This window comes from Homo sapiens, chromosome 3 (assembly GCF_000001405.40).
Source record: "Homo sapiens chromosome 3, GRCh38.p14 Primary Assembly".
NCBI classification, from domain to species: Eukaryota; Metazoa; Chordata; class Mammalia; order Primates; family Hominidae; genus Homo; species Homo sapiens.
In genome coordinates, this window is record NC_000003.12 from 47,388,251 (window position 1) to 47,415,502 (window position 27,252).

Genomic DNA, 27,252 nt, shown 5'->3' on the forward strand with positions numbered 1-27,252 from the left:
CAGGCTGGAGTGCAAAGGCACGATCTTGGCACACTGCAGCCTCTGCCTCCAGGTCTCAAGTGGTCCGTCCACCTCATCCTCCTGAATAGCTGGGACCACAGGCACGCACCACTCTGCTAATTTTGCTTATTTTTTTTTAGAGATAAGGTCTCACTGTGTTGCGCAGGCTGGTCTCAAACACCTGGGCTTAAGTAGGTATATAAGTATATACACCTACTATGTACCCACAAAAATTAATGGGGTACTTGATATGGCCAAACAGGTATAGTAATCACATCAGGGTAAATGGAGTATCCATTACCACAAGCATTTATCCTTTCTTTGTGTTACAGACAATCCAATTATACTTTTATTTTTAAATGTAATAAATTATTGCTGACTATAGTTACCCTGTTTTGCTGTCACTACTAGATCTTTTTTTTTTTTTTTTTTGAGACAGAGTTTCGCCTTGTCACGCAGGCTAGAGTACAGTGGCACAATCTCGGCTCACCACAACCTCCGCCTCCCGTGTTCAAGCGTTTCTACTGCCTCAGCCTCCCGAGTAGCTGGGATTACAGGCACCTGCCATCATGTCCAGCTAATTTTTGTCTTTTTAGTAGAGTCTGGGTTTTGCCATGTTGGACAGGGTGGTCTCGAACTCCTGACCTCAGATGATCCACCCGCCTTGGCCTCCCAAAGTGCTGCGATTGCAGGTGTGAGCCACCACGCCCAGCCTCAAATACTAGATTGTATTCATTCTATCTAACTATATTTTTGTACTCATTAACCATTCCCACTCCACTCCCCCACCCCACTCCCACTACCCTTCCCAGCCTCTGGTATTCATCATTCTACTGTCGGTTTCCATGAATTCAGTGGTTTTAATTTTTAGCTCCCACAAAAAAGTGAGAACATGCAGAGTTTGTCGTTCTAATGCTTGTTAAGTTCTTAGTACAGGTCTTGGCCTATTGTAAACAATATTTTCACCTGAGCATCTTCCTTCCCTGTTTGGGAAATAACTCGAATCCTTATGACAGCTCTGAGCTAGACGTAGCAAGTGATATTAACCCCATTTTACACATGAAAAAAGCCAAGCCTAGGCTGGGCATGGTGACTCATGCCTGTAATCCCAGCGCTTTGGGATGCCGAGGTGGGAGGATAGCTGGAGGCCAGGAGTTCGAGACCAGCCTGGGCACCATAGCAAGACCCCTGTCTCTACAAAATAAAAATAAAAATTAGCTGGGGCCAGGCATGGTAGCTCACGCCTGTAATCCCAGCACTTTGGGAGGCCAAGGCGGGTGGATCACGAAGTCAAGGGTTCGGGACCAGGGCCTGGCGCAGTGGCTCACGCCTGTAATCCCCGCACTTTGGGAGGCCGAGGCGGGTGGATCACGAGATCAGGAGATCAAGACCATCCTGGCTAACACGGTGAATCCCCGTCTCCACTAAAAATACAAACAATTAGCCAGGCGTGGTGGCGGGTGCCTGTAGTCCCAGCTGCTCAGGAGGCTGAGGCAGGAGAATGGCGTGAACCCGGGGGGGTGGAGCTTGCAGTGAGCTGAGATGGCACCACTGCACTCCAGCCTGGGTAACAGAGCGAGACTCCGTCTCAAAAAAAAAAAAAAAAAAAAAAAGGAGTTCGAGATCAGCCTAGCCAACATGGCAAAACCCCATCTCTACTAAAAATACAAAAATTAGCTGGGTATGGCTGCATGCACCTGTAGTCCCAGCTACTTGGGAGGCTTAGGCAGGAGAATTGCTTGAACCCAGGAGGTGGAGGTTGCAGTAAGCCGAGATGGCGCCATTGCACTCCAGCCTGGGTAACAGAGCGAGACTCCGTCTCAAAAAAAAAAAAAAAAAAAAATAGCTGGGCATGGTGGCACACAGCTGTAGTCCTAGCCACACAAGAGGCTGAGGTGGGAGGATCACTTGGAGTTTGAAGCTTCATTGAGCTATGATAGTACCACTGCACTCCAGCCTGCCTGACAGAGCAAGACAATTTAAAAAAACAAAAAACAAAAACCAAGCCCAGATTTCACAGCAACTCAGGGGCACTGTTTCCCACTTGTAATCTGGTAACTCCTTTCTTTTCTTTTTCCCCTCGGTGGCTGTGATCCCTGGACGTGCCCTCACTGAGAGCTCTCCACGGGTCTTCTTTTATTCCTTCAGAAAAGGATCCCCAGCTACTTCAAAGCCTGGCTGTTTTTGGAGGTTCTCTGGTCTTCTTCCTGTTAGTTGTGTAGGTACTGGGGTCCTGTCAGGGCCTCTGGTTCTTTCTCCTCGTCTGCTGCTGGGCCTGCCTTCTCAGCCTCCATTGGAGCTTCATACTTCCCGCTAGACTGTTCCGAGTTCTGCAGAGTCCCAGACCATAGCGAAATGGGGACAAGGTCTCTGTCCCTTACTCCAGGAACTTCACCCAGCCTCTTTCTTCTTTTTTAGTGGAGGAGTGATCAGCAGTCACAGAGGATTTTGTTAGGGTTTTAAAAACATCCTTTTGCTTCTAACAGGCTGCAAATAATAATAATAACATAAATATCCTGGCTGCTCCACTGACTCACTGTGTGGCCAGGGATTCATTTTCTGTGCCTGTTTTTCAGAGTTGTTTGTAAGAACCATATTTTTAAAAAATAGAAATGCTCTGGGAGGCTGATGTGGGTCAACTGCTTGAGCCCAGGAGTTTAAGACCAGACTGGGCAACATAGTGAGACTCCCATCTCTATAAAATAAAAAAAAGTTTGGGCGTGATGGCTCATGTCTGTAATCCCAACACTTTGGGAGTCTGAGGCAGAAGGATTGCTTGAGGCTAGAAGTTCCAGACCAGCCTGGGCAATATAGCAAGACACTACCTCTACAGAAAATTAGCTGAGTATGGTGGTATGTGCCTGTAGTTCCGGCTTCTTGGAAGGCTGAGGCAGGAGAATTACTTGGACCCAGGAGTTTGAGACTGCAGTGAGCTATGGTTGCAGTACCACTGTAACTCCAGCCTGGGCAACAGAACAAGACCTTGTCTCGAAAATAAAATAAAACAATAAAAAATAAACTAAAAACAATTTAAATAGAAATGGAATGGTCTAATATGGAAAGAACATGGGCTCTGGAGCCCAAATGCCTGGGTTTCAGTCATATCCCCATCAGTTATTAGCACCGTGACCTTGGTGAATACCCTAACTCTTTGCCTCAGTTTCCTCATTTCCTCATCTGTAAAGTGGTGATGATAATAGTGTCTACCTCTTAGGGTTGTTCTAAGGATGGAGTGATTACTAGGCACTCAGCACAGTGCCTGACCTGTGGTAGGTTCTCAGTTAAGCATCTGCTGCTGATCTTATAGGAGGACGGAGATGAGATTCAGATAGAATGTGACCTCTAGGCATGATTTGCTAGGGGTGGGAGCAGCATCTTTCTGTCACCATTGTGTGAACAGCAGGGTCAGATGTTCCTAGTGATATCACGGGAAGCCTTGTTTCTAGGATGTAGGAGTCTCCTGTCCATCTGATTCCTTTGGCCTCTATCCCACGAGACCTCTGAGCTACACTTTTACTCATTTTCTCTAACCTAAGGGTGGGCAAAACCTCTTACTGCAAGGGAGTTAACCACAGAACATTCTCTCATATAGTCAAGTTTTACCTCATAGCTTAGGCCACATTTTAAAAAATATTTTAGTTAATTAATTATTTTTGAGATAGTGTCACACTCTCACCCAGGCTGGAGTGCAGTGGCACAATCATGGTTCACTGCAACCTTGAACTCCTGGTGTCAAGCAGTCCTCTCACCTCAACCTCCCAACTGGCCAAGAGTATAGGCGCACACCACCACACGTGGCTAATTCTTGTGCTTTTTGTAGAAATGGGGTTTTGCCATGTTGCCCAGGCTTGTCTTGAACTCCTGGGCTCAAACGATCGGCCCACCTTGGCCTCCCAAACTGCTGGGATTACAGGCATGAGCCACTGTGCCTGGCCTATTTTTATTTTTTAATACAGACAGGGTCTCACTCTGACACCCCAGCTGAAGTAAGGTGGTGCCATCATAGCTCACTGCAGCTTCAAACTCCTGAGCTTAAGCAGTCCTGCCTCAGCCTCCCAACTAGCTGAGACCACAGGCATGCACCACCACTCCTGGCTAATTTTTAAATTTTTTTTCGTAGAGATGGGGGTCTCGCCATATTGCCCAGGCTGGTCTGGAACTCCTAGCCTCAAGTGATCCTCTCACCCCAGCCTACCAAAGTGCTGGGATTATAGTCATGAGCCATCATGCCCAACCCAAGGCCACTTTTTGTAGTTGTGTTTTTGTTGTTGTTGTTGTCATAATTATTTTTGAGGGAGGGAGTGGAGAGGGGGTGGAGTTGGATAGATCAGAGTGAAGATTGTTAAATGCCTGTCAGCTCCCTAAAGTTCTTGGTAAATCCTTATGTTTGTGCATAGTTGAAAATTTCTAGGGGGATTTAATTCATGGCTTTTATCATATTCTCAAAGGACCCACAAAAGGCTAAATAAAAACCACTGATAGGGGAAAGTGGTATTCAGGTACCATTTAGCTCTTCAGCAACTCTTAAGACATTTGTTTTCCAAATTTCAAACATATAGAAAAATTGGAAGAATAATTCAGTGCTCACCCAAATTCTCACTATCTAGTATTTTTGTTTTGTTTTGTTTTTAGAGATGGGATTTACTCTTTGTTGCCCAGGCTGGACTTGAACTGCTAGGCTCAAGTGATCCTCCTGCCTCAGCCTCTGGAGTAGCTGAGACTACAGATGTGCGCTGCACCTGGCTGATTCATTTTTAAATTTTTGTAGAGATGGGATTTATTGTTATGTTGCCCAGTCTGGCCTTGAACTCTTGGGGTCAAGTGATCCTCTGGCCTCGGCCTCCCAAAGTGCTGGAAGTACAGGTGTGAACCACTGCACCCAGTGTGTTACCTAGTTTTGTTTGTTTGTTTTGTTTTTTTAAGATGGAGTCTTGCTGTGTGGCCAAGGCTGGAGTGCAGTGTTGTAATCTCAGCTCACTGCAACCTCCCCCTCCTGAGTTCAAGCGATTCTCCTGTCTCAGCCTCCTGAGAAGTTGGGATTACAGGTGCCCACCACCATGCCTGGCTAATTTTTGTGTTTTTAGTAGAGATGGGGTTTCACCATGTTGGTCAGGCTGGTCTCGAACTCCTGACCTCAAGTGATCCACCTGCCTTGGCCTCCCAAAGTGTTGGGATTACAGGCATAAGCCACTGTGCCCGGCTACCTAGTTTTGATGGATGTATTTCACCTTATTTGTTTTCTCTCCAGATAGATAGATAGATAGAGAGAGATCCCACAAGCCCTTTGAAAGTAAGTTTTGGACATCACTTTTCCCGGACACATCTCAGCATGTGTTTCCTAAGAGTGAGGACATTCTACACAATCACAATGTTATTATCATACCTAAGAAAATCTACAATAATTTTCCCCTATCTTTTATGACTTTTCCTTTTTTTTGCAGACTCAGATCCAGCTGGGGTTCTCATATTGCATTTAGTTGTGTTCTGTCCCTTTAATCACTTATTTATTTGTTTATTTATTATTATTATTATTATTTTTGGAAACAGACTGGAGTGTGCACACAGCTCACCACAGCCTCAACCTCCCAGGCTGATTCTCCCACCTCTCCCTCTTGAGTAGCTGGGACTACAGGCGTGGGCTACCATACCCAGCTAATTTTTTTTTTTTTTTTTAATTTGTAGAGATAGGGTCTCATGTTGCCCAGGCTGCTCTGGAACTCCTGGGCTCAACAGTCCTCTGACCTCAGCCACCCAAAGTGCTGGGATTACAGACTTGAGCCACCATATCCAACCTGTTTAATCATTTTTAATCTAGAATAGTCCACTGCTCAACCCCCTCCTTTTACATGACATTAATTTTTTGAAGAGAGTGGGTTCATTGTTGCCCCATTTTCTGAATTTTTCTGAGTGTTTCCTTTTCGTGTTCATCTGTCCTCTGCATTTCCTGTAAAAGCAATCATTTGCTGAGTATACAACACATCTGATAAGGCCCCTACCATTCCTTAATGCTTATTGTTTGAGGCTGGGGTCACTGGCATGACCCTGCCGTCGGCACACAGTATGTTGGAGGCATGTTTGGAATGTGAGCGGAAGAGCAGCTAATGTTCAAGGCAGTGACATTTCGGCTGAGTCTTAGTAGAGAAAGTAGGGACAATGTAGATAGGCATTGATACCTGAGAGCAGCAATTCCCAAGTACTATTGGCTGGTTGTCCCTGGGAGGTGCCAGAGGAAAATCCTTGAAGGTTGTGGGGAGCAGGTTGTTTATTTTTGTAGAGACGGGTCTTGCTCTTTTGCCCAGGCTGATCTCTAATTCCTGACCTGAAGTGATCCTCCCACCTTGGCCACCCAAAGTGTTGGGATTACACGCTTGAGCCACCTCACCCGGCCAGGAACAGGTTGTGCAGGGTCATAAACTCTGTGCCAAAATTAGATTTGGTCCTAGAGGCTTTGGGAAGCTACTGCACACATTCTTTTTAGATTATATATCATTTCCTATCATCTCACTGTCCTGAGATAAGCATGTTTTGGTCTATCTTCTCCCTAAGGGTGTGTGTGTGTTTCAGAAGGATTTAAAGCTGGAAGTGACCTCAGAGTTGTGCTAGAAATAACAATTCTGGCCACTTGGTAAGGGACGGATTTGAAGGGGTGGGTTGTCCAGGACAGAGGTGGCATGGGGAGAGAGAAAAGAGCTTATGGACACAGGGACTTTCAGGAGCTGAAACCAACAGAAGAACCAGGGTTAGACTCAGAGGTTTGGGAAAGGGTTGCTTGATGCTGTAATTAGCTCAGCTGTCGCCTCCCTGCCATCTGTTCCTCTTCTCCCTTTGCTCACCAGGCAGACAGAAGCTGTCACCCAGGCTTCCCGGTTCCCATGTGGCTGATTCCTTAGCTATGCATCCTGGGTCCTGGGAAGGGACCTCAGGAAAGATGGGTGGGCCACACACATGGTGTGAGTGAGTGTGCTCCCAGACAGAGCAGGCTGCCTCATCTCAGCCTTTCTCAGCCACCTCTCTCTACCTTGCAAACCTTGGTCATGGCCTTAAGGAGCCCTGTGAGGTGGGTATCAGTGCTCATAGTGTTTGTGGCGTGAGTGGATCTGGCCTCCCAGATTGCTAGCCAAGACACCAGCAGCAAGTACTGCAACAGGGACAGTTGCAGTTGCCTTAGTCTGGTGATCTGAGTTGAACAGGGGGCCCTTTGGGCTAAGCCTGTGCCTCCAGGTGGGTGTGTATGCTCACTGTCCAAGACAGTCTGCTCTGGAGGTGGTGAGTGCCACTGTGGACAGGCACTCCAGTGCTCTCTCTGATGTGGGTAGTGACCTCCCCTTCTCACCTTCTCCCACCTGGGCCATTCTCCTCACACAGCTGCAAGTCTTTCCTCACAGATGAGGACACTGCAGATCACATGTTTCTATGCTGTCCTTTCCCAGGCCAGGAGAATGGGTTGGTGAGAGAGGCTTTCTGTTCCCACTCTTGTTTGGTGCCTCTTGCCTGCAGTTGCTATCAGCTTAGGGTTATGGTAGTCACCCCACAACGCAGCAGGGCCCAATCTTCTAGGGAGGCTTGAGTTCGTGACCCTTTCTGGAATCCTTATTAGGACCCCATTTCAGTCCGCTGAGTTCCTTGGCTTCCTGAGCTGGCAGACTCCTGGACTTTGTAGAGAGACTGCAGCGTTAGGAGGACCTGCCAGAGTGTTGGTGCAGGGTCACGGCTCTCGTGGTCAGCATTTTGGTGCTGCCTGTTCAGGAGGCGAAGTTCCTGGTGGTCCAGGAGACACGCTTATGGTTGTAGGTCTGCACTTAATCCTGAGTCCTGGTTGGTGCTTGCCCAGGACTCAGAGGGCAAGGCGGGGGTCTTCTCTGCCACTGGCTTATGTTCTTCTCTCTCTGTAGTTTGTCCTGAAGAATTATGGAGAGAACCCAGAAGCCTACAATGAAGAACTGAAGAAGCTGGAGTTGCTCAGACAGGTAGGAGGATAGTATTATCTTTTTATGCATGGGTAGACAGGATTGGTTTGATAGGGAGATAAAGAAACTGCCTAGGCTGGGCATGGTGGCTCAACGCCTATAATCCCACCACTTTGGGAGGCCGAGGTGGGCAGATCATTTGAGGTCAGGAGTTTGAGACCAGCCTGGCCAACATGGTGAAACCCCATCTCTACTAAAAATACAAAAATTAGGCAGGTGTGGTGTCATGTGCCTGTAGTTCCGGCTACTCAGGAGTCTGAAGCAGGATAATTGCTTCAACCCAGGAGGTGGAGGTTGCAGTGAGCTGAGATCATGCCACTGCACTCCAGCCTGGGTGATAGAGCGAGACTCCATCTCAAAAACAACAAAAAAGAAACCACCTGGCCCTTTCTAGCTTTTGATGTAAAGTGAAAGACAGCTGGATGTGTGACTCATGCCTATGATCCCAGCACTTTGGGAGGCCAAGGCAGGAGGATTGGTTCCTCCTGGAGTTCAGGCCCAGGAGTTTGAGACCAGCCTCAACATAGTGAGGCCCTGTCTCTATAGAAAACAAAAAAAATTAGCCAGGCATGATGGTGCACAGCTATGTCCCCAGCTACGCAGGAGTCTGAGGAGGGAAGATCACTTGAGCCCAGGAGGTTGGGACTGCAGTGAGCCAACCATGTTCATACCACTGTACTCCAGCCTGAGTGACAAAGTGAGACCCTGACTGTTTAGAAAACAAAACAAAAGTGAAAGATGTGTGACTCTTCCTTTCACTTAAACACTTAAGAGGCCATTGTAGGTTATTAATTGGCCTAATTTCAATATTATTGTGTCTCAGGGAATAGGGAGCCTGAGGAGAGGGAGAGAGGCAGGAAAAGGCCAGCCAGTGAAGCAGTGAGAACACACGGAACATTTATAAGTCTGCCGTCTTCTATGGGTGCAATTCATGGCACCAAAAACAATTATAATAGTAACATCAAAGATCACTGATCACTGATCACCATAACAGATATATAATAAAAAAGTTTGAAATATTGTGAGAATTACTAAAATGTGACACAGAGTCATGAAATGAGCACATGCTGCTGGAAAAATGGTGCCGACAGGCCTGTGTGATGCAGAATTGTCACAAACCTTCAGTCTGTAAAAAACACAGCACCTGTGAAGTGCAATAAAATGAGGTATGCTGTATTTTTTTCCTGATTATTGTATGTACTATTGGATAACAACATGTTTTCCCTTATGTTTTTGTTAGAAGGGTAAGAGTCTGCACTGGCATGGCTGAACTTGAGTACCAGTAATGTAGATACATGCCATAGAAATCAGTAGCTGTTAGTGTTTTCTTGTCTATCATGGACCACATACCAATCCTTGCAATAACCCAGCAGTACTAGCAACTATTGCCAGTATACTACCCATCAGTAAATTTTTGGATACATTTTCATTTAGTCTACTGAGTGAAGATATTTTCTTTTTTCTTTTTCTGAGACCTAGTCTTACTCTGTCACCCAGGCTGGAGTGCAATGGCGCGATCTCAGCTCACTGCAACCTCTACCTCCCAGGTTCAAGTGATTCTCCTGTCTCAGCCTCCTAAGTAGCTGGGACTACAGGCGCCCACCACCACGCCCGGCTAATTTTTTGTATTTTTAGTAGAGACAGGATTTCAACATGTTGGCCAGGCTGGTCTCGACCTCCTGACCTCAGGTAATCCACCTGTCTCGGCTTCCCAAATTGCTGGGATTACAGGTGTGAGCCACCGCGCCCCGCCTGGTGAAGATATTTTCTATGTCAGTTATTCAAAATTAGTACAAGGCCAGGTGCAGTGGCTCACGCCTGTAATGCTATCACTTTGGGAGGCTGAGGCAGGTGGATCACTTGAAATCAGGAGTTCGAGACCAGCCTGGCCAACATGGCGAAACCCCCTCTCTACGAAAAATACAAAAATTAGTCGGGCATGGTAGCAGCGCATGCCTGTAATCCCAGCTACTAGGGAGGCTAAGGCAGGAAAATTACTTGAACCCAGGAGGTGGAGGTTGCAGTGAGCCAAGATCGCACCCCTGCATCCAGCCTGGGCAACAGAGTGAGACTGTCTCAAAAAAGAAAAGCTAGAAATTATTACACTTAGTAAGGAAGGCACGTGAAAAACTGAGATAGGCCAAAAGCTAGGCCTCTTGCACCAGATCACCAAGTTAGGAATGCAAAGAAAAAATTCTTGAAGGAAATTAAAAAAGAATCGAATGATGTCATATCTCTGGATATCAGATTCTCCCCCTTCCCCGGGATTTGCTGGGTTTTTTTGTGTGTTTTTGATTGTTGTAGGCTACCCCTGTGCCAAGAATCAGCCTGAAATGTAAACTTAAAGTTTTTTTTTTTTTTTTCCCGAGACAGGGTTTCGCTCTGTCGTCCAGGCAGGAGTGCAGTGGCACAATCACGGCTCACTGCAGCCTCCATCTCCCCAGTTCAAACCATCCTCCCACTGCAGCCCCCAAGTAGCTGGGACTACAAGTGCACACCACCGCATCCAGCCAATTTTTAAATTTTTTGTAGAGATGGGGTTCCCCTGTGTTGCCCAGGCTGGTCTCAAACTCCTGGGCTCAAGTGATCTTCTGGCCCCAGCCTCCCAAAGTGTTGGGATTAAAGGCATGAGCCGCAGCACCCGGCCTTGTAAACTTAAGGTCTTCACAGGTCTTTTCTGAGCCTGTACCATTCCCTGCACATGTGCAGACTTTCTCATTTGCCCTATATATGTGGTTGCTTTTGAACATCTTACTCTTTAGTGTCTGCCTCCCAAAGGAGGAAAAAGAGAAAAATGAAGAAGGGAAAAGATGCCAGGCCTTTAGATCCCTTGGAAGTTCCTTCAGCTAGAGGTGAAGAAGCTTACAGCCGTGGAGGGAGGTGCAATAGTGGAGGAGCTGCCTCTTTCTCTGTACCTCTGTGATCAGAAGCAGCAATCAGCAAGATCTCCTGTATTTGGAGGACAGAGTCCTTTTTGTCCATGCTGGCTCCCACAAGCTGCTCCTGGAACTGGTGCTGGGGGTGGGGGATGGGTGGCTGCTACTATGGTAGGGGCTGAAATTGACCAAAATTAATGGCAGTGAGCTGTACTGTCAAAGCCTTTGCCTAGAAGTTGCAAGCCTTTAATAGACTCCAGAGTTAAGTCAGATTCTGCCAGTGCAGCTTGTCTTGGTGGGGAGACCAAGCTTCTTCTTATGCTGTCTTCTCAGAACCCTCCTCATAAGTTGAATCTTTAAAAAGGGTTTATTTGAACAAAGTTTGAAAACTAGTGAGATAATCTTAGCCCCTGGGGCAACCGTCATTTTGCACACACAGGCACACACTACACACAAGGACGCAACACACCCTAGAAGGAGCATTACCACCAATCTCCAAAGCATCCTCTGAGACATATCCTCCAAAGCATAAGGCAGGCAACCTGCACAGAGCAATGGGCTGGGTAGAGCAGCCCCTGAGAGAGCTGTGAGCCAGCAGCCTTCAGACCTGTGCTTTTCCAGTGCGAAAAAAGCTCACACATGGCCATCTGGGGTAGCCACTTCCCCTTCCTGGGACTTGGTTTAATTTATCCCAGCAATGTGGGAGTTGGACTAGATCACTGTTTTTTTTGTTTTTGTTTTTAAAGACAGAGTCTCACTCTGTCACCCAGGCTGGGGTGCAGTCTATCTTGGCTCATTGCAACGTCTGCCTCCTGGATTCAAGCGATCCTCCTACCTCAGCCTCCTGAGTACCTGGGACAAGTATGCACCACCATGCCTGGCTAATTTTTGTATTTTTTGTAGACATGGAGTCTCGTATATTCCCCAGGCTGGTCTTAAACTACTGGCCTCAAGCAATCCTCTGCCTCAGCCTCCGAAAATGCTGGGATTACAGGCGTGAGTCACCACGCCTAGTCTAGATCACTGTTCCTTATACTTGTGAAACCCCAGAACAAATTTTCTTACATAGGACGTTGATAATAATCTTTCAGTGAAAAAGTTATTGGAAGCTTTAGGCAGTCCTCTTTCCCTGATCTGAGCCTCAGTTTCCTCATCTGTAAAACCAGGGTTTGAATAGTTGTTTCTAGGAAGACTTTCCTTTTTAAACTCTGAAATAAATTCTTGGCTCTGTGATTACAGGGAATAAAACTGACAGGTGCAGGGGATGCTATGGGGGCATCACAGCATCAAGCTCTCTCTCAGACTCCTCTGTGCGGCTCTGCGCAGCTCGTCTGAGAGTCTGACAGACCAGGCTAGAACCACAGGGGGCTGCATTCTTGGGTGGATTAAAGGGTACAGGTGATCTCTTGGATCTGGAGGGGAGACTGCTTCCATTGTTTCCCAAAGATGGTTTTAGGAAGTACAAGACAAATTTTATTTTATTATTTATTTATTTTTGACACAGAGTTTCACTCCTATTGCCCAGGGTGGAGTGCAATGGCACAACCTCGGCTCACCACAACCTCTGCCTCCAGGGTTCAAGCGATTCTCCTGCCTCAGCCTCCCGAGTAGCTGGGATTACAGGCACTCGCCATCACGCCCAGCTATATTTTGTATTTTTAGTAGAGACAGGGTTTCTCCATGTTGGCCAGACTGGTCTCAAACTCTCAACCTCAGGTGATCCACCCGCCTTGGCCTCCCAAAGTGCTGGGATTATAGGTGTGAGCCACAGCACCCGGCTTTTATTTTATTTTATTTTATTTATTTTGTTTTATTATTTTATTTTTTGAGATGGAGTCTCACTCTGTTGCCCAGGCTGGAGTGCAGTGGCGCAATCTCGGCTTACTGCAAGCTCCGCCTCCCGGGTTCACGCCATTCTTCTGCCTCAGCCTCCCAAGTAGCTGGGACTACAGGTGCCCGTCACCATGCCTGGCTAATTTTTGTATTTTTAGTAGAGACAGGGTTTCACCTTGTTAGCCAGGGTGGTCTTGATCTCCTGACCTCGTGATCCGCCTGCCTCGGCCTCCCAAACTGCTGGGATTACAGGCGTGAGCCACTGCGTCCGGCCTTTTATTTTATTTTTTGAGATAGGGTCTCACTCTGTTGCCCAGGCTGAAGTGCAGTGGCATGATCATGGCTCACTGCAGCCTCCACCTCCCAGGCTCAATCACTTCTCCCCCTTCCCAAGCCTGTAGTCCTGAGTAGCTGGGACTACAGGTATGCATCACCGCACCTGGCCAATTTTTGTATTTTTTGTAGAGGCGGAGTCTCGCCATGTTCTTCAGGCTGGTCTCAAAATCCTGGGCTCAAGTGATCCTCCCACTTTGGCCTCCCAAAGTGCTGGGATTATAGGCATGAGCCACCATGCCCGGCCAAGATTTTTCAATACTTTTATATGTGCTATTTTAGTGAGTATTGAAAAAAACTGTGTGGCTAGCGCATCACACCTGTGATTTTAGAGCTGTTATTGCTTAGGATGTGGCTCTTAATTTTAAAAATGGATTGTTTAAAGAAAAATGTTAAGTACAAGTGGTATTTGGATATGGCAGAGGTCATGATGGAGGGGTATGATAAGAATGACTAGATTTGAGAAGCATTGGCCTAATGCTGTGAGCTGCAGCTGTGACATGCCTTATCCTTGCACTGGGCATTCTAGAAGCCTCACTACCAGGGAGATTATCATCCCTGTTTAAAGAAGAGACTGAGTTTCAGAGTCTCCCAAGACACTGCTGGGAAGTGGTGTAGAGTACAACTGGTGCCTGACTTTTCTGTTCCACTGTCCCCAGGGTGTATGTACCCCATCTGAGAGCATCCCTGCTGGCAGCTCAGAGCCGAGCTCCCAGAGTGGAGTGTCCTGGAGGATTTCTTCTGGCTAAGTCCTAGTGAGAGGCTCTGGTCCTCTCTGCAGGGGGCTGAGGGCAGACAGGTGTCAAGCCATCCCCCTCACTGTGCACCTGCTCCTTGGAGGGTGTATTGTTTGCTTTTCTGTTTGTTTAAGCAGAGGGTTCATTTTTTTGTTGTTTTCCCCCCAAAATAATAGCTCTGTTGTTTATCATAAATATTGAAAATGTTTAATATAAATACATAAACAATATGAAGAATTAAATACATGTCTGTCAGATGTATACATATTTATCTATTTATTTATTATTATTATTATTATTTGAGACCGAGTCTCACTCTGTCACCCAGGCTGGAGTGCAGTGGTGCAACCTCAGCTCACTGCAACTTCTGCTCCCCGGATTCAAGTGATTCTCCTGCCTCAGCCTCCTGAGTAGCTGGAATTACAGGTGCGCACCATCATGCCTGGCTACTTTTTGTGTTTTTAGTAGATACGGGGTTTCACCACGTTGCCCAGGCTGGTCTCGAATTCCTGGGCTCAAGCGATCCACCCGCCTCAGCCTCCCAAAGTGTTGGGATTATAGGCGTGAGCCACCTCGCCCAGCCATATCTATCTATTTATATAGAATAAGATAAATTACTTAAATCCTGTCATTCAGCGATAATCACGGTTAACATTATGGTGTACAGTCTTCTGAATTTTCTTTTTGTTTATGTACCTATTTGTGGGTTTTTTTGTTTTTTCTTTTGAGACAGAGTTTTTCTCTTGTTGCCCAGCCTGGAGTGCAATGGCATGATCTCAGCTCACTGCAACCTCCGCCTCCCAGATTCAAACGATTCTCTTGCCTAAGCCTCCCGAGTAGCTGGGATTACAGGCACACACCACCACACCCAGCTAATTTTTGTATTTTTAGTAGAGACGGGGTTTCACCATGTTGGCCAGGCTGGCATCGAACTCCTGACCTTAGGTGATCCATCCGCCTTGGCCTCCCAAAGTGCTAGGATTATGGGCGTGAGCCACCTTGCCTGGCCTGTGTACCCATTTGGATATCAGTATTTGTATGATCCCATTTGTTACATTCTTTTTTTTTTTTTTTGAGACGGAGTCTCGCTGTCGCCCAGGCTGGAGTGCAGTGGCGCGATTTCGGCTCACTGCAGGCTCCGCCCCCCGGGGGTTCACGCCATTCTCCTGCTTCAGCCTCCCTAGTAGCTGGGTCTACAGGTGCCTGCCACCACGTCCGGCTAATTTTTTGTATTTTTAGTAGAGACGGGGTTTCACCGTGTTAGCCAGGATGGTCTCGATCTCCTGACCTCGTGATCCTCCCGCCTCGGCCTCCGAAAGTGCTGGGATTACAGGCGTGAGCCACTGCACCTGGCCACATTCTTTTCTTTTTTTTTTCCCCCAATAGCATGCCATAGGCATCTTAACATATGAGTAACTAGAGACTCTTGTCTTTAGTTTTCATGGCTGCAGCATATTCTCTTGTGAGGCGCCTTGACATAATTAATTTAAAACAGTCCCCTTTAGTGGGAATTTTGGTGGGTATCCAGTTTTACCTTTTGCTTTTTTTGAGAGACAGGGTCTTGCTTCATCACCCAGGCTGGAAAACAGTGGCACAACCATAGCTCACTGCAGCCTTAACCTCCCAGGCTCAATCGATCTTTTCCCGTCGGCCTCCCAAGGAGCTGGGACCAAAGGCACCATCACGCCTAGATAATTTTTAAAATTCTTTTTTGTTGAGACAGGGTCTTGCTACATTGCCCAGACTGGTATCTAACTCCTGGCCTCAAGCGATCCTCCCACCTTGGCCTCCCAAAATGCTGGGACCACATGTGTGAGCCCCTGCACCTGACCTGGAGTCCAGTTTTTGACCCTGGTAATAATGCTGTGATGAATATCCTTGCGTTCATATCCAAGCATTTGCTTTCCTGGAAGTCTGTTACTGTAAACTTTTAGATACAGAACTGTAGGTCATGCTGAGTGTGGCAGCTCACACCTTTAATCCCATCACTTTGGGAGGTAGAGATGGGAGGATCACTTGAGCCCAGGAGTTTGAGAACAGCCTGGGCAACATGGCAAAACCCTGTCTCTATTAAATTCAAAAAACTGTGGGCCAAAAGTTAAGTAGAGTAAAAAACTTAAAACATGTTGCAAACTGCTTTTCAGATGTTTGAGATGGGCTGGGCACAGTGGCTCATGCCTGTAATCCCAGCACTTTGAGAGGCTGAGGCGGGTGGATCACAAGGTCAAGTGTTCGAGACCAGCCTGGCCAAAATGGGGAAACCCCGCCTCTACTAAAAATACAAAATTAGCCAGGCATGGTGGCGTGTGCCTGTAGTCTCAGCTAATTGGGAGGCTGAGGCAGGAGAATTGCTTGAACCCAGGAGGTTGCAGTGAATACTGCATTCCAGCCTGGGTGACAGAATGAGACTCTTTTTTTTTTTTTTTTTTAAAAAAGGAAAAACTATGTGGGATAGATTCAGTCGGCCAGCTGCCAGCCCTGGCTTGTGGAATGTTTTGTTGAACGACTATAGGTATAGCCATGGACTTTTTGGGATCCCTTGGTGTGTGCAGTCGGCCAGCTGTGATGCATTTTCCTGGCATTTGTGAGTTAGCTGGCCTGCGTGTCCACTGCCCCATATGACAACAGGCCTGCTTCTCCCATCCTGCCCCCCAGAATGCTGTCCGTGTCCCACGAGACTTTGAGGGCTGTAGTGTCCTCCGCAAGTACCTCGGCCAGCTTCATTACCTGCAGAGTCGGGTCCCCATGGGCTCGGGCCAGGAGGCCGCTGTCCCTGTCACCTGGTGAGAGCCGCAGGCAGGGCTGGAGGATCCCACGGGGAGTCTGGGTGGTGGGGGTGCTCCTCCCCTCCCTTCCCCCTTCTCCTTGCTGCATAGGATGGGGAATGGCCTCATATGGTCCCCCCAGGCCTCCCCACATCCCCACAATGGGGTGTTTAGTCCCCTTACCTAATCTCAGGGCCCTGGCTAGCTCCTGCCCTCGAGATAACTGGGGTGCCATGTCTGCAGGACAGAGATCTTCTCAGGCAAGTCTGTGGCCCATGAGGACATCAAGTACGAGCAGGCCTGTATTCTCTACAACCTTGGTGAGCTGCCTGATCCCTTCCCCCGGCCCTACTCCCCAGTCCTGCCAGCCTAGCTTTCAGCTCTTCAGATGGCCACAAAGGCAGTGGGCTGATAAAGGGAGGACTCCAGGATTCCCGCCCCTCCACTGACCTCCCCACAGCCCTGCCAGCTCCTCCACTGTTTTCTGGGCTGGGCCCGTGGGGAGCCTCTGCTGGGGCGAGGCTCTACTGGGCTGGCTGCCACACAGAGTTGCCACTGTGTGCTCTGTCTGGGAGAGAGGGCCTTTCTTCTTTGACTGGACAGCCCCTCCCCACTGTGGTTTTGGGCTGCTTCAGGCAGGAGGAGAGTGTGGCTGGCCTCAGCTTACCCTGCTAGTCAGCCTTAGCCTGGCTCAAGGGAGAAGCTTGGGGAGCCCCAGAGTTCTGTGCAAACATCCCTGAAGCTTCAAGATTGGACCCCTTGGACAGGAGCCCTTCCATCCTCTGCCAAATGCAGAGCAGGAGACTGAGGGCTGGGCAGGACTTCTGAGTTTCCCTGTTCCCTCCAGCTTGGGTGTCCTTGGACTCGTTGCCCTGGTTCTCAGAGCCATGTTGTCCTGATTGTGGATAACAGCAGTGCCCCCTCTGTCTCACCTTCACATGGGTGTGAGCAGCCCCAGGCCCCTAACACTGTCCCCTCCCTCCCCAGGAGCGCTGCACTCCATGCTGGGGGCCATGGACAAGCGGGTGTCTGAGGAGGTGAGGAGAGGGGCAGTAGTGGAACATGTGGACATACCAGGGAGGGGCAGCCTCCCAAGTATGGATGAATCCTGACCCATGGAGTGGACACAGGCCATCCTCCCACTCCCTCCCAGGGCATGAAGGTCTCCTGTACCCATTTCCAGTGCGCAGCCGGCGCCTTCGCCTACCTACGGGAGCACTTCCCTCAAGCCTACAGCGTCGACATGAGCCGCCAGATCCTTACGCTCAACGTCAACCTCATGCTGGTGAGGAGGCGCCCTGGTTGGAGTGGAGTTGAATCCAGGGAAGGGGATGGCCAGGGAGGGGGCAGTTGGGCCTGGATCCTGGACCAAGGCAGTGAGGGACAAGCAAGGGGCCTTGGCTTTGTTGAATCAGGAGCACCGTGGTGCTGCTTGGAGTGGGGGCAGCTGGGGGAGAGGGCAGTGAAGAGGGATCCCTCAGTCTGCCCCTGGGGAAGGATAAAGGGAAGGGGAAGCGGGAGGCCTTGGGTGAGCGAGGGAGTGCACCTCACGTGTCGCCCCAGGGCCAGGCTCAGGAGTGCCTCCTGGAGAAGTCGATGTTGGACAACAGGAAGAGCTTTCTGGTGGCCCGCATCAGTGCACAGGTAGGGACGGGGCTGAGGGGAGGCCTTCACTTTACTGCTGACTCCCCCACTCATTGGGCCCCACCCTGTTCTCAGGTGGTAGATTACTACAAGGAGGCATGCCGGGCCTTGGAGAACCCCGACACTGCCTCACTGCTGGGCCGGATCCAGAAGGACTGGAAGAAACTTGTGCAGATGAAGATCTACTACTTCGCAGCCGTGGCTCATGTGAGGGCCTGGGGCCCCAGGGCGGGGCAGGGCGGGGCTGAGTGGCCACAGCTCAGGAAGCAAGTCGTGGCGTCTCTTCTTCTTTCCCAGCTGCACATGGGAAAGCAGGCCGAGGAGCAGCAGAAGTTCGGGGAGCGGGTGAGCTACAGCGAGGAGGGGACTGGGGACCAATGGCAGCCTTCAGTGAGATGCCGGTGTGCTCCCGCTCCTTACACACCAGGGGGTGGCCTTCTCTGTCTCACCCTGGCCATCACCCTGCTGGAGGCCTGGTGTCTTAAGTGTTGTCCCATCTGTGCAGCCCTCGTCCCTCGGGGTCTGAGGAGGTGGGGCAGGCTCCCTACAGAGCAGGTGGCTGGGGCAGGGTGTGGCGCCACCTTGCTGCTGTTGGCTGGGGTGGTGCCCGGCTGCCTCCTGAGCTGCTTGTCATCTGATGGACAGGCAGGGCCGGGTGGGAGGCAGGAGGAGAAAGGGTCCAAGCAGAGGAGGACAGAGCAGGCTTTCCTGCCACCCTCCACAGGTTGCATACTTCCAGAGCGCCCTGGACAAGCTCAATGAAGCCATCAAGTTGGCCAAGGTAAAGCTGAGGAAGGCCTGGCTGCCCTGAGGGTATAGGAGCAAGCCCGGTAGGACTGAGGGGGTGTCCTGGTGCCAGCCTTGGTTAGTGCTAAGGCCCCACCCCTGTCCCTAACCCCACAGGGCCAGCCTGACACTGTGCAAGACGCGCTTCGCTTCACTATGGATGTCATTGGGGGAAAGTGAGTCTGTGGGGGTGGCCCTGGTTCCCTCTTTTTGTGAAGGGTCTTGTCCCTCTGCTGGCATCTACATGGGAAGTAGGTTCTGGATCCCCACTGACACCCCGTGACTGCCCACTCCCCCTGCTCCTGATCCCCAGGTACAATTCTGCCAAGAAGGACAACGACTTCATTTACCATGAGGCTGTCCCAGCATTGGACACTCTTCAGCCTGTAAAAGGTCGGGGAGCTGAGAGGTGGGGGCAGAGGTGACGGTGGGGTGGGGACAGGACACAGGAGGCTGCCTCAAGGACTCTGCGTGGGCCTGATCTCCACAATTCCCACCCCCCCAGGAGCCCCCTTGGTGAAGCCCTTGCCAGTGAACCCCACAGACCCAGCTGTTACAGGCCCTGACATCTTTGCCAAACTGGTACCCATGGCTGCCCACGAGGCCTCGTCACTGTACAGGTGGGTGGAGGGTGGCACAGAGGGAGGTGGGGTGTCTTGAGATGTGGGTCTTCAGCAAATGCTCTGTCGCTTCTGCAGTGAGGAGAAGGCCAAGCTGCTCCGGGAGATGATGGCCAAGATTGAGGACAAGAATGAGGTCCTGGAGTGAGTGTGGGACTTGGGCAGGGAGGCGGAGGCAGGCAGCACTTCCCGGGCCTCTGGGGGCCCCAGGGCTGCCTATGCTGGGAGAGGAATGAAATGTCCATTCCAAACAGGTTTCCCAATGCTGCCTTCCCGCCTGGGGTGGTGGGGCTAGTGTGTAAGGCAGGAGTCATGTCTTGGGAGGAGGAGGTGCCTTCTGTTCCACTGTTTCCAGCAGTGCCCTGGGCATGTTCTGTGAGACCAGGCCAGACCTGGTAGTAGGGGTCCGAGGTCACAATTTGCTCTCTGCTGAGACCTCAGATTGAGTGGTGAGGCTTGCCCTAGCGGCTCCTTTGACATGGTCAGAGTTGGATCAGCACCCAGCACCCACCTGGCCCTGTTGCTCCCCACAGCCAGTTCATGGATTCAATGCAGTTGGATCCCGAGACGGTGGACAACCTTGATGCCTACAGCCACATCCCACCCCAGCTCATGGAGAAGTGCGCGGCTCTCAGCGTCCGGCCCGACACTGTCAGGAACCTTGTACAGTCCATGCAAGGTGAGTAAGGGGCAGAGCAAGCAGGTGGAAGGGAGTGTGGAGGTCATCTGCTGTGGCCTCCTCCGTGTCCCTGGTCACTGAGGATGGAGGCTGCACCCCTCTAGGCCCTGGCTTGGGCATCCACACCCACTCCTCTGAATCAGCATACCTCTTGCACCCTGCTCAGTGTGCGCTGGGCCTCACTTAAGCCCTGACCTGAGGGGGCGGTTCTGTCTCTTGGGGGAGGGGCCCATGGGTGCCCGGTCAGCCTGCCTCAGGGGCTGCCTGTACAATCCACAACCCCAGTGCTGTCAGGTGTGTTCACGGATGTGGAGGCTTCCCTGAAGGACATCAGAGATCTGTTGGAGGAGGATGAGCTGCTAGAGCAGAAGTTTCAGGAGGCGGTGGGCCAGGCAGGGGCCATCTCCATCACCTCCAAGGCTGAGCTGGCAGAGGTGAGGCGAGAATGGGCCAAGTACATGGAAGTCCATGAGAAGGCCTCCTTCACCAACAGTGAGCTGCACCGTGCCATGAACCTGCACGTCGGCAACCTGCGCCTGCTCAGCGGGCCGCTTGACCAGGTCCGGGCTGCCCTGCCCACACCGGCCCTCTCCCCAGGTGAGCCCCACCAGACCCCATTGGGAGACTCGAGCTGGGGGTTTCTCTGGCCTCACTGACCACTGCTGCCCACAGAGGACAAGGCCGTGCTGCAAAACCTAAAGCGCATCCTGGCTAAGGTGCAGGAGATGCGGGACCAGCGCGTGTCCCTGGAGCAGCAGCTGCGTGAGCTTATCCAGAAAGATGACATCACTGCCTCGCTGGTCACCACAGACCACTCAGAGATGAAGGTGGGCTGGGTGAGCAGGGTAGAGGGGCTCTGGCTCCGGGCCCCACCCTTAGGAGTCGAGGCCCTGAGTGTCCGTCCCTGGCCCCCACCCCTTCCTCAGAAGTTGTTCGAGGAGCAGCTGAAAAAGTATGACCAGCTGAAGGTGTACCTGGAGCAGAACCTGGCCGCCCAGGACCGTGTCCTCTGTGCACTGACAGAGGCCAACGTGCAGTACGCAGCCGTGCGGCGGGTACTCAGCGACTTGGACCAAAAGTCAGTGCCCAGTCCTCTGCTCTTTCCCGGAGCCACCTGGAGCCCAGCCCCATGGTTCACCTGGAGCTGGCCCTTCTGCCCACCAGGTGGAACTCCACGCTGCAGACCCTGGTGGCCTCGTATGAAGCCTATGAGGACCTGATGAAGAAGTCGCAGGAGGGCAGGGACTTCTACGCAGATCTGGAGAGCAAGGTGGCTGCTCTGCTGGAGCGCACGCAGTCCACCTGCCAGGCCCGCGAGGCTGCCCGCCAGCAGCTCCTGGACAGGTTTGTGTGGCCCTGGGGCTGTGGTGCGGCTCGGGTCCAGACAGGCTGGGGTGATGGGAGCCTGGCCCCACTTTTTCCTTGCCTGTCGCACAGGGAGCTGAAGAAGAAGCCGCCGCCACGGCCCACAGCCCCAAAGCCGCTGCTGCCCCGCAGGGAGGAGAGTGAGGCAGTGGAAGCAGGAGACCCCCCTGAGGAGCTGCGCAGCCTCCCCCCTGACATGGTGGCTGGCCCACGACTGCCTGACACCTTCCTGGGAAGTGCCACCCCGCTCCACTTTCCTCCCAGCCCCTTCCCCAGCTCCACAGGCCCAGGACCCCACTATCTCTCAGGCCCCTTGCCCCCTGGTACCTACTCGGGCCCCACCCAGCTGATACAGCCCAGGGCCCCAGGGCCCCATGCAATGCCCGTAGCACCTGGGCCTGCCCTCTACCCAGCCCCTGCCTACACACCGGAGCTGGGCCTTGTGCCCCGATCCTCCCCACAGCATGGCGTGGTGAGCAGTCCCTATGTGGGGGTAGGGCCGGCCCCACCAGTTGCAGGTCTCCCCTCGGCCCCACCTCCTCAATTCTCAGGCCCCGAGTTGGCCATGGCGGTTCGGCCAGCCACCACCACAGTAGATAGCATCCAGGCGCCCATCCCCAGCCACACAGCCCCACGGCCAAACCCCACCCCTGCTCCTCCCCCGCCCTGCTTCCCTGTGCCCCCACCGCAGCCACTGCCCACGCCTTACACCTACCCTGCAGGGGCTAAGCAACCCATCCCGGCACAGCACCACTTCTCTTCTGGGATCCCCGCAGGTTTTCCAGCCCCAAGGATTGGGCCCCAGCCCCAGCCCCATCCTCAGCCCCATCCTTCACAAGCGTTTGGGCCTCAGCCCCCACAGCAGCCCCTTCCACTCCAGCATCCACATCTCTTCCCACCCCAGGCCCCAGGACTCCTACCCCCACAATCCCCCTACCCCTATGCCCCTCAGCCTGGGGTCCTGGGGCAGCCGCCACCCCCCCTACACACCCAGCTCTACCCAGGTCCCGCTCAAGACCCTCTGCCAGCCCACTCAGGGGCTCTGCCTTTCCCCAGCCCTGGGCCCCCTCAGCCTCCCCATCCCCCACTGGCATATGGTCCTGCCCCTTCTACCAGACCCATGGGCCCCCAGGCAGCCCCTCTTACCATTCGAGGGCCCTCGTCTGCTGGCCAGTCCACCCCTAGTCCCCACCTGGTGCCTTCACCTGCCCCATCTCCAGGGCCTGGTCCGGTACCCCCTCGCCCCCCAGCAGCAGAACCACCCCCTTGCCTGCGCCGAGGCGCCGCAGCTGCAGACCTGCTCTCCTCCAGCCCGGAGAGCCAGCATGGCGGCACTCAGTCTCCTGGGGGTGGGCAGCCCCTGCTGCAGCCCACCAAGGTGGATGCAGCTGAGGGTCGTCGGCCGCAGGCCCTGCGGCTGATTGAGCGGGACCCCTATGAGCATCCTGAGAGGCTGCGGCAGTTGCAGCAGGAGCTGGAGGCCTTTCGGGGTCAGCTGGGGGATGTGGGAGCTCTGGACACTGTCTGGCGAGAGCTGCAAGATGCGCAGGAACATGATGCCCGAGGCCGTTCCATCGCCATTGCCCGCTGCTACTCACTGAAGAACCGGCACCAGGATGTCATGCCCTATGACAGTAACCGTGTGGTGCTGCGCTCAGGCAAGGATGACTACATCAATGCCAGCTGCGTGGAGGGGCTCTCCCCATACTGCCCCCCGCTAGTGGCAACCCAGGCCCCACTGCCTGGCACAGCTGCTGACTTCTGGCTCATGGTCCATGAGCAGAAAGTGTCAGTCATTGTCATGCTGGTTTCTGAGGCTGAGATGGAGAAGGTGAGAAGAGGGGGTGGGTGCCCACGAGGGCAGTGTGGGGTGGCAGGGCAGGGGATCCTGGAAAACCAGGTCTGTCTTGGCTTATCTGTCCCTCAGCAAAAAGTGGCACGCTACTTCCCCACCGAGAGGGGCCAGCCCATGGTGCACGGTGCCCTGAGCCTGGCATTGAGCAGCGTCCGCAGCACCGAAACCCATGTGGAGCGCGTGCTGAGCCTGCAGTTCCGAGACCAGAGCCTCAAGCGCTCTCTTGTGCACCTGCACTTCCCCACTTGGCCTGAGTTGTGAGTCCACTGCTCTGGATGGTGGTTGGGGGTCTAAGTGCTGTCCAGTCCTTGGTGCTGGGAGGGATGAGAGCCTCAGGTCAGGCCTGGCTCATAGGCTCTTCCTGGCCCCATCCTGTCCCACAGAGGCCTGCCCGACAGCCCCAGCAACTTGCTGCGCTTCATCCAGGAGGTGCACGCACATTACCTGCATCAGCGGCCGCTGCACACGCCCATCATTGTGCACTGCAGGTAGAGGGTGGGCCTGAGGGTCTCTCCTCTATGGGCTCTTGGCCTAGCCTCATACCCCGGCCTCATAACCCCTTCTTGGCACAGCTCTGGTGTGGGCCGCACGGGAGCCTTTGCACTGCTCTATGCAGCTGTGCAGGAGGTGGAGGCTGGGAACGGAATCCCTGAGCTGCCTCAGCTGGTGCGGCGCATGCGGCAGCAGAGAAAGCACATGCTGCAGGAGAAGGTGAGGATCTGGGCAGATGGGGCTGGGATGGGCCTTCTGTCCCAGGGTGACGGGCCCCTGCCCAGCTGACCTGGCCAAATGCACCTGTGCAGCTGCACCTCAGGTTCTGCTATGAGGCAGTGGTGAGACACGTGGAGCAGGTCCTGCAGCGCCATGGTGTGCCTCCTCCATGCAAACCCTTGGCCAGTGCAAGCATCAGCCAGAAGGTGAGGAAGGTTCCGTGGAAGCTGCTGGGAGAGCCACAGCCTTGGGACTCCCTCTCCTCACTCACTCTGTCTTCTCAGAACCACCTTCCTCAGGACTCCCAGGACCTGGTCCTCGGTGGGGATGTGCCCATCAGCTCCATCCAGGCCACCATTGCCAAGCTCAGCATTCGGCCTCCTGGGGGGTTGGAGTCCCCGGTTGCCAGCTTGCCAGGCCCTGCAGAGCCCCCAGGCCTCCCGCCAGCCAGCCTCCCAGAGTCTACCCCAATCCCATCTTCCTCCCCGCCCCCCCTTTCCTCCCCACTACCTGAGGCTCCCCAGCCTAAGGAGGAGCCGCCAGTGCCTGAAGCCCCCAGCTCGGGGCCCCCCTCCTCCTCCCTGGAATTGCTGGCCTCCTTGACCCCAGAGGCCTTCTCCCTGGACAGCTCCCTGCGGGGCAAACAGCGGATGAGCAAGCATAACTTTCTGCAGGCCCATAACGGGCAAGGGCTGCGGGCCACCCGGCCCTCTGACGACCCCCTCAGCCTTCTGGATCCACTCTGGACACTCAACAAGACCTGAACAGGTTTTGCCTACCTGGTCCTTACACTACATCATCATCATCTCATGCCCACCTGCCCACACCCAGCAGAGCTTCTCAGTGGGCACAGTCTCTTACTCCCATTTCTGCTGCCTTTGGCCCTGCCTGGCCCAGCCTGCACCCCTGTGGGGTGGAAATGTACTGCAGGCTCTGGGTCAGGTTCTGCTCCTTTATGGGACCCGACATTTTTCAGCTCTTTGCTATTGAAATAATAAACCACCCTGTTCTGTGGCCCGTGTCTGAGTCTGCCCATTGCTGCCTCAGCTCCAGTAGCACTGCCAGGAACTTAACTTACTTAGCACCTTTTGTGGATGACAGGATGGTACCAAACTGCCACACTACCAGGACAGTTCTTTAAGGGCCCTGCAGTTCTGGCTTGCTCATCCTCCCCGTGCCACACTGTATGTATGTTTCCTCAGCAGCTCTGAGGAGGGTCCAGGCAGAGTGTGTGCACAAACAATTCCAAGAGACACAAGTAGCTCCCAAAGTGCCTGACAGATGATGATATGGTTTTTTAAAAAAGTTTAATATTATTACAGTCAGGAGGCAGCGGCTGGAAGATACTCGGCTCTTTCCCCCAAGTCCAGGTTCAGTGCATTGGCCCCCACACAGCACCCCAGCCTCCTGCCTGGGCAAGGAGGCCCTGCGCTCAGTCCAGCTTCTCCAGCACAGAGGGCACATACACCAGGCTGAGCTCACTGCCAAAGTTGCAGACAATGGCAGCGTTGTCCAGCACCAGGATCTGGCGGGCAGGCTGGGCCTCACTGTTCTTCCCCAGGTAGACTGTCTGTAACAGGTCCCCGTAGTTTAGGTCCCAAAAGGAGACACAGCCCTGGCCGCCAGTCACCAGCAGGTTGTCTGAGATGACACCCAAGCTTGCACCACAGCCCAGGTCCTGGAGGCAAGGACATGACAAGCTCAGTCCTGAGTCCTTCCCTAAAATCCCAAGAATCCTATGATCCCCATCCCCTCTACCTGCTGAATGGAGTAGAACTTGATGCCTGTGCTGCGGTCCCAGATGCTGATGAGGTCATCCAGGCCACTGCTGATGACACAGGAGGTGGTACAGGTAAGGGAGGTGACATCCCCACGGTGAGCAAACACATGGCTGACCCGGCTGCCAGTCAGTACATCCCACAGGCAGATGGCCCCATCTTGTCCTCCACTGGCCAGCACCATGGTCTGGGGAAACAGGCCAGGGGAGTGGGGTCACCATGGTGTAATACCTCTGTCAACAGTGGTGTCCCTGTGCCCCAGTGGGTGGGGCCCTGACTGCTTCCTGGAAGGCCCCTGGGGACCAGCTCCCAGGAGTCAGCAAACATGGGCCACAGACTCTGTACCCCCTACCCCACCTGCAGGCCGCTTACCTGGTCAATGTACACGGTCGTGATGGCCCCTGAGTGGCCCTGAAGGGTGAAGAGGCAGCACGAGTCCTCCAGACGGAACACCTGGGACAGGGATGGGCCTCAGGTTCTGGTCTCTGGGATTTTCCAAGTTATACTTTGGCTGGGAAATGCCCTCTGTTCTTCATCAGGACTCTTCCAGCCTCTCCCTGACGAATGCATCAGGCTCCCACCCCGTGCCGGGCCACTCCAGCACCCAAGAGACAAGACAATACTCACTCTCAGTGTGTGGTCTTGGCTCCCAGTCACCAAGCGCCCAGCAGCGGCTTTCAGGGCTGTGATGGGTTTTTGGTGTGCACAGGGCACTGTGTGGGTCAGGTGACAGGCCACTGTGTCGCTGCTGCTGTACACTGGAGAGGCAGGGGAACTGCCCCGCCCTGGGGTCCCTGAGGACAAAAGGCCAAGTGAAGAATCTCTGAGAAAGCAATGGGTAGACGGCCCCTGCCCGTCCCACCAAGTGTGAACACCTGCCCACCCCAGGCCCTCCGACCTCTAAACTGCAGGGGGCTGAGGGCAGTGTGGGTCTCCAAGGAGAAGAAATCAAGGGAACCGTTGAGCCGTGCAGCCACAATCCTGGAAGAGAAGAACAGCTGCCAGGGGCCTCTCCCTTAGAGCCCCAGCCCTGGGGCTGAGCATGTGGACATGAGAGTTAAGGGCCAGTTCAAGAAGGCACAGGAGGGACATGGCCAAGAGGAAAGCACATGGTGCCAGAACAGATGCTGGAGCCAGAGGGCAACTCCAAATATTAACCACCTTGTGCCTCAGTTTCTTCATCCGTAAAATGGGGATAAGAGTACCCACCTCACAGGGTGGTCATGAGAATCAAGTGAGCTAACGTGTAAGGTGGTACCTGGTGAATATCACGTAAGTTTGTAAATTAAAAACAAGCAGAGGG

The 27,252-nt window shown here is 52.7% G+C and overlaps 2 protein-coding genes across 22 annotated transcripts in view, besides 3 other annotated features; one reads left to right on the forward strand and one right to left on the reverse strand.

Annotated features, from left to right (window-relative positions):
- PTPN23 (protein tyrosine phosphatase non-receptor type 23) overlaps positions 1–25,185 on the forward strand; it is a 32,415-nt gene extending 7,230 nt beyond the window's left edge. The window contains exons 2-25 of one of the 3 annotated variants that reach the window (NM_015466.4): positions 7,893–7,967; positions 16,402–16,529; positions 16,755–16,831; positions 17,499–17,548; positions 17,665–17,796; positions 18,075–18,155; positions 18,231–18,362; positions 18,453–18,500; positions 18,880–18,936; positions 19,059–19,117; positions 19,255–19,334; positions 19,447–19,561; positions 19,640–19,705; positions 20,095–20,240; positions 20,526–20,837; positions 20,913–21,067; positions 21,167–21,318; positions 21,405–21,584; positions 21,678–23,436; positions 23,533–23,717; positions 23,844–23,948; positions 24,033–24,171; positions 24,264–24,377; positions 24,456–25,185. In NM_015466.4, coding sequence (NP_056281.1) covers positions 7,893–7,967; positions 16,402–16,529; positions 16,755–16,831; positions 17,499–17,548; positions 17,665–17,796; positions 18,075–18,155; positions 18,231–18,362; positions 18,453–18,500; positions 18,880–18,936; positions 19,059–19,117; positions 19,255–19,334; positions 19,447–19,561; positions 19,640–19,705; positions 20,095–20,240; positions 20,526–20,837; positions 20,913–21,067; positions 21,167–21,318; positions 21,405–21,584; positions 21,678–23,436; positions 23,533–23,717; positions 23,844–23,948; positions 24,033–24,171; positions 24,264–24,377; positions 24,456–24,935 — 4,827 coding nt within the window. In that variant the 3' untranslated portion in view covers positions 24,936–25,185. The remainder of the gene's footprint in view (positions 1–7,892; positions 7,968–16,401; positions 16,530–16,754; positions 16,832–17,498; positions 17,549–17,664; positions 17,797–18,074; positions 18,156–18,230; positions 18,363–18,452; positions 18,501–18,879; positions 18,937–19,058; positions 19,118–19,254; positions 19,335–19,446; positions 19,562–19,639; positions 19,706–20,094; positions 20,241–20,525; positions 20,838–20,912; positions 21,068–21,166; positions 21,319–21,404; positions 21,585–21,677; positions 23,437–23,532; positions 23,718–23,843; positions 23,949–24,032; positions 24,172–24,263; positions 24,378–24,455) is intronic. The other 2 variants (XM_005265031.3, NM_001304482.2) reach the window with 2 other exon arrangements.
- Positions 10,282–10,463: a silencer, noted in NCBI's record as "fragment chr3:47440022-47440203 (GRCh37/hg19 assembly coordinates)". NCBI's record gives its function as "represses an EF-1alpha promoter that drives an FKBP-Casp9 reporter gene in an ReSE screen in HepG2 liver carcinoma cells {active_cell/tissue: HepG2}" and the evidence as "EXISTENCE:reporter gene assay evidence [ECO:0000049][PMID:32094911]".
- Positions 16,697–17,196: an enhancer, noted in NCBI's record as "H3K4me1 hESC enhancer chr3:47446437-47446936 (GRCh37/hg19 assembly coordinates)". NCBI's record gives its function as "activates a minimal SCP1, AML or CMV promoter by ChIP-STARR-seq in naive H9 embryonic stem cells {active_cell/tissue: H9 hESC(naive)}" and the evidence as "EXISTENCE:reporter gene assay evidence [ECO:0000049][PMID:30033119]".
- Positions 17,390–18,255: an enhancer, noted in NCBI's record as "H3K4me1 hESC enhancer chr3:47447130-47447995 (GRCh37/hg19 assembly coordinates)". NCBI's record gives its function as "activates a minimal SCP1, AML or CMV promoter by ChIP-STARR-seq in primed H9 embryonic stem cells {active_cell/tissue: H9 hESC(primed)}" and the evidence as "EXISTENCE:reporter gene assay evidence [ECO:0000049][PMID:30033119]".
- The window catches only part of SCAP (SREBF chaperone), a 63,447-nt gene continuing 61,625 nt past the window's right edge, over positions 25,431–27,252 (reverse strand). For all 19 annotated transcript variants that reach the window (XM_011533501.2, NM_001320044.2, XM_005264967.3 and 16 more), the window contains 5 exons: positions 26,848–26,930; positions 26,577–26,743; positions 26,322–26,402; positions 25,930–26,136; positions 25,431–25,849 (listed from right to left, as the gene is read on the reverse strand). In XM_011533501.2, coding sequence (XP_011531803.1) covers positions 25,604–25,849; positions 25,930–26,136; positions 26,322–26,402; positions 26,577–26,743; positions 26,848–26,930 — 784 coding nt within the window. In that variant the 3' untranslated portion in view covers positions 25,431–25,603. The remainder of the gene's footprint in view (positions 25,850–25,929; positions 26,137–26,321; positions 26,403–26,576; positions 26,744–26,847; positions 26,931–27,252) is intronic.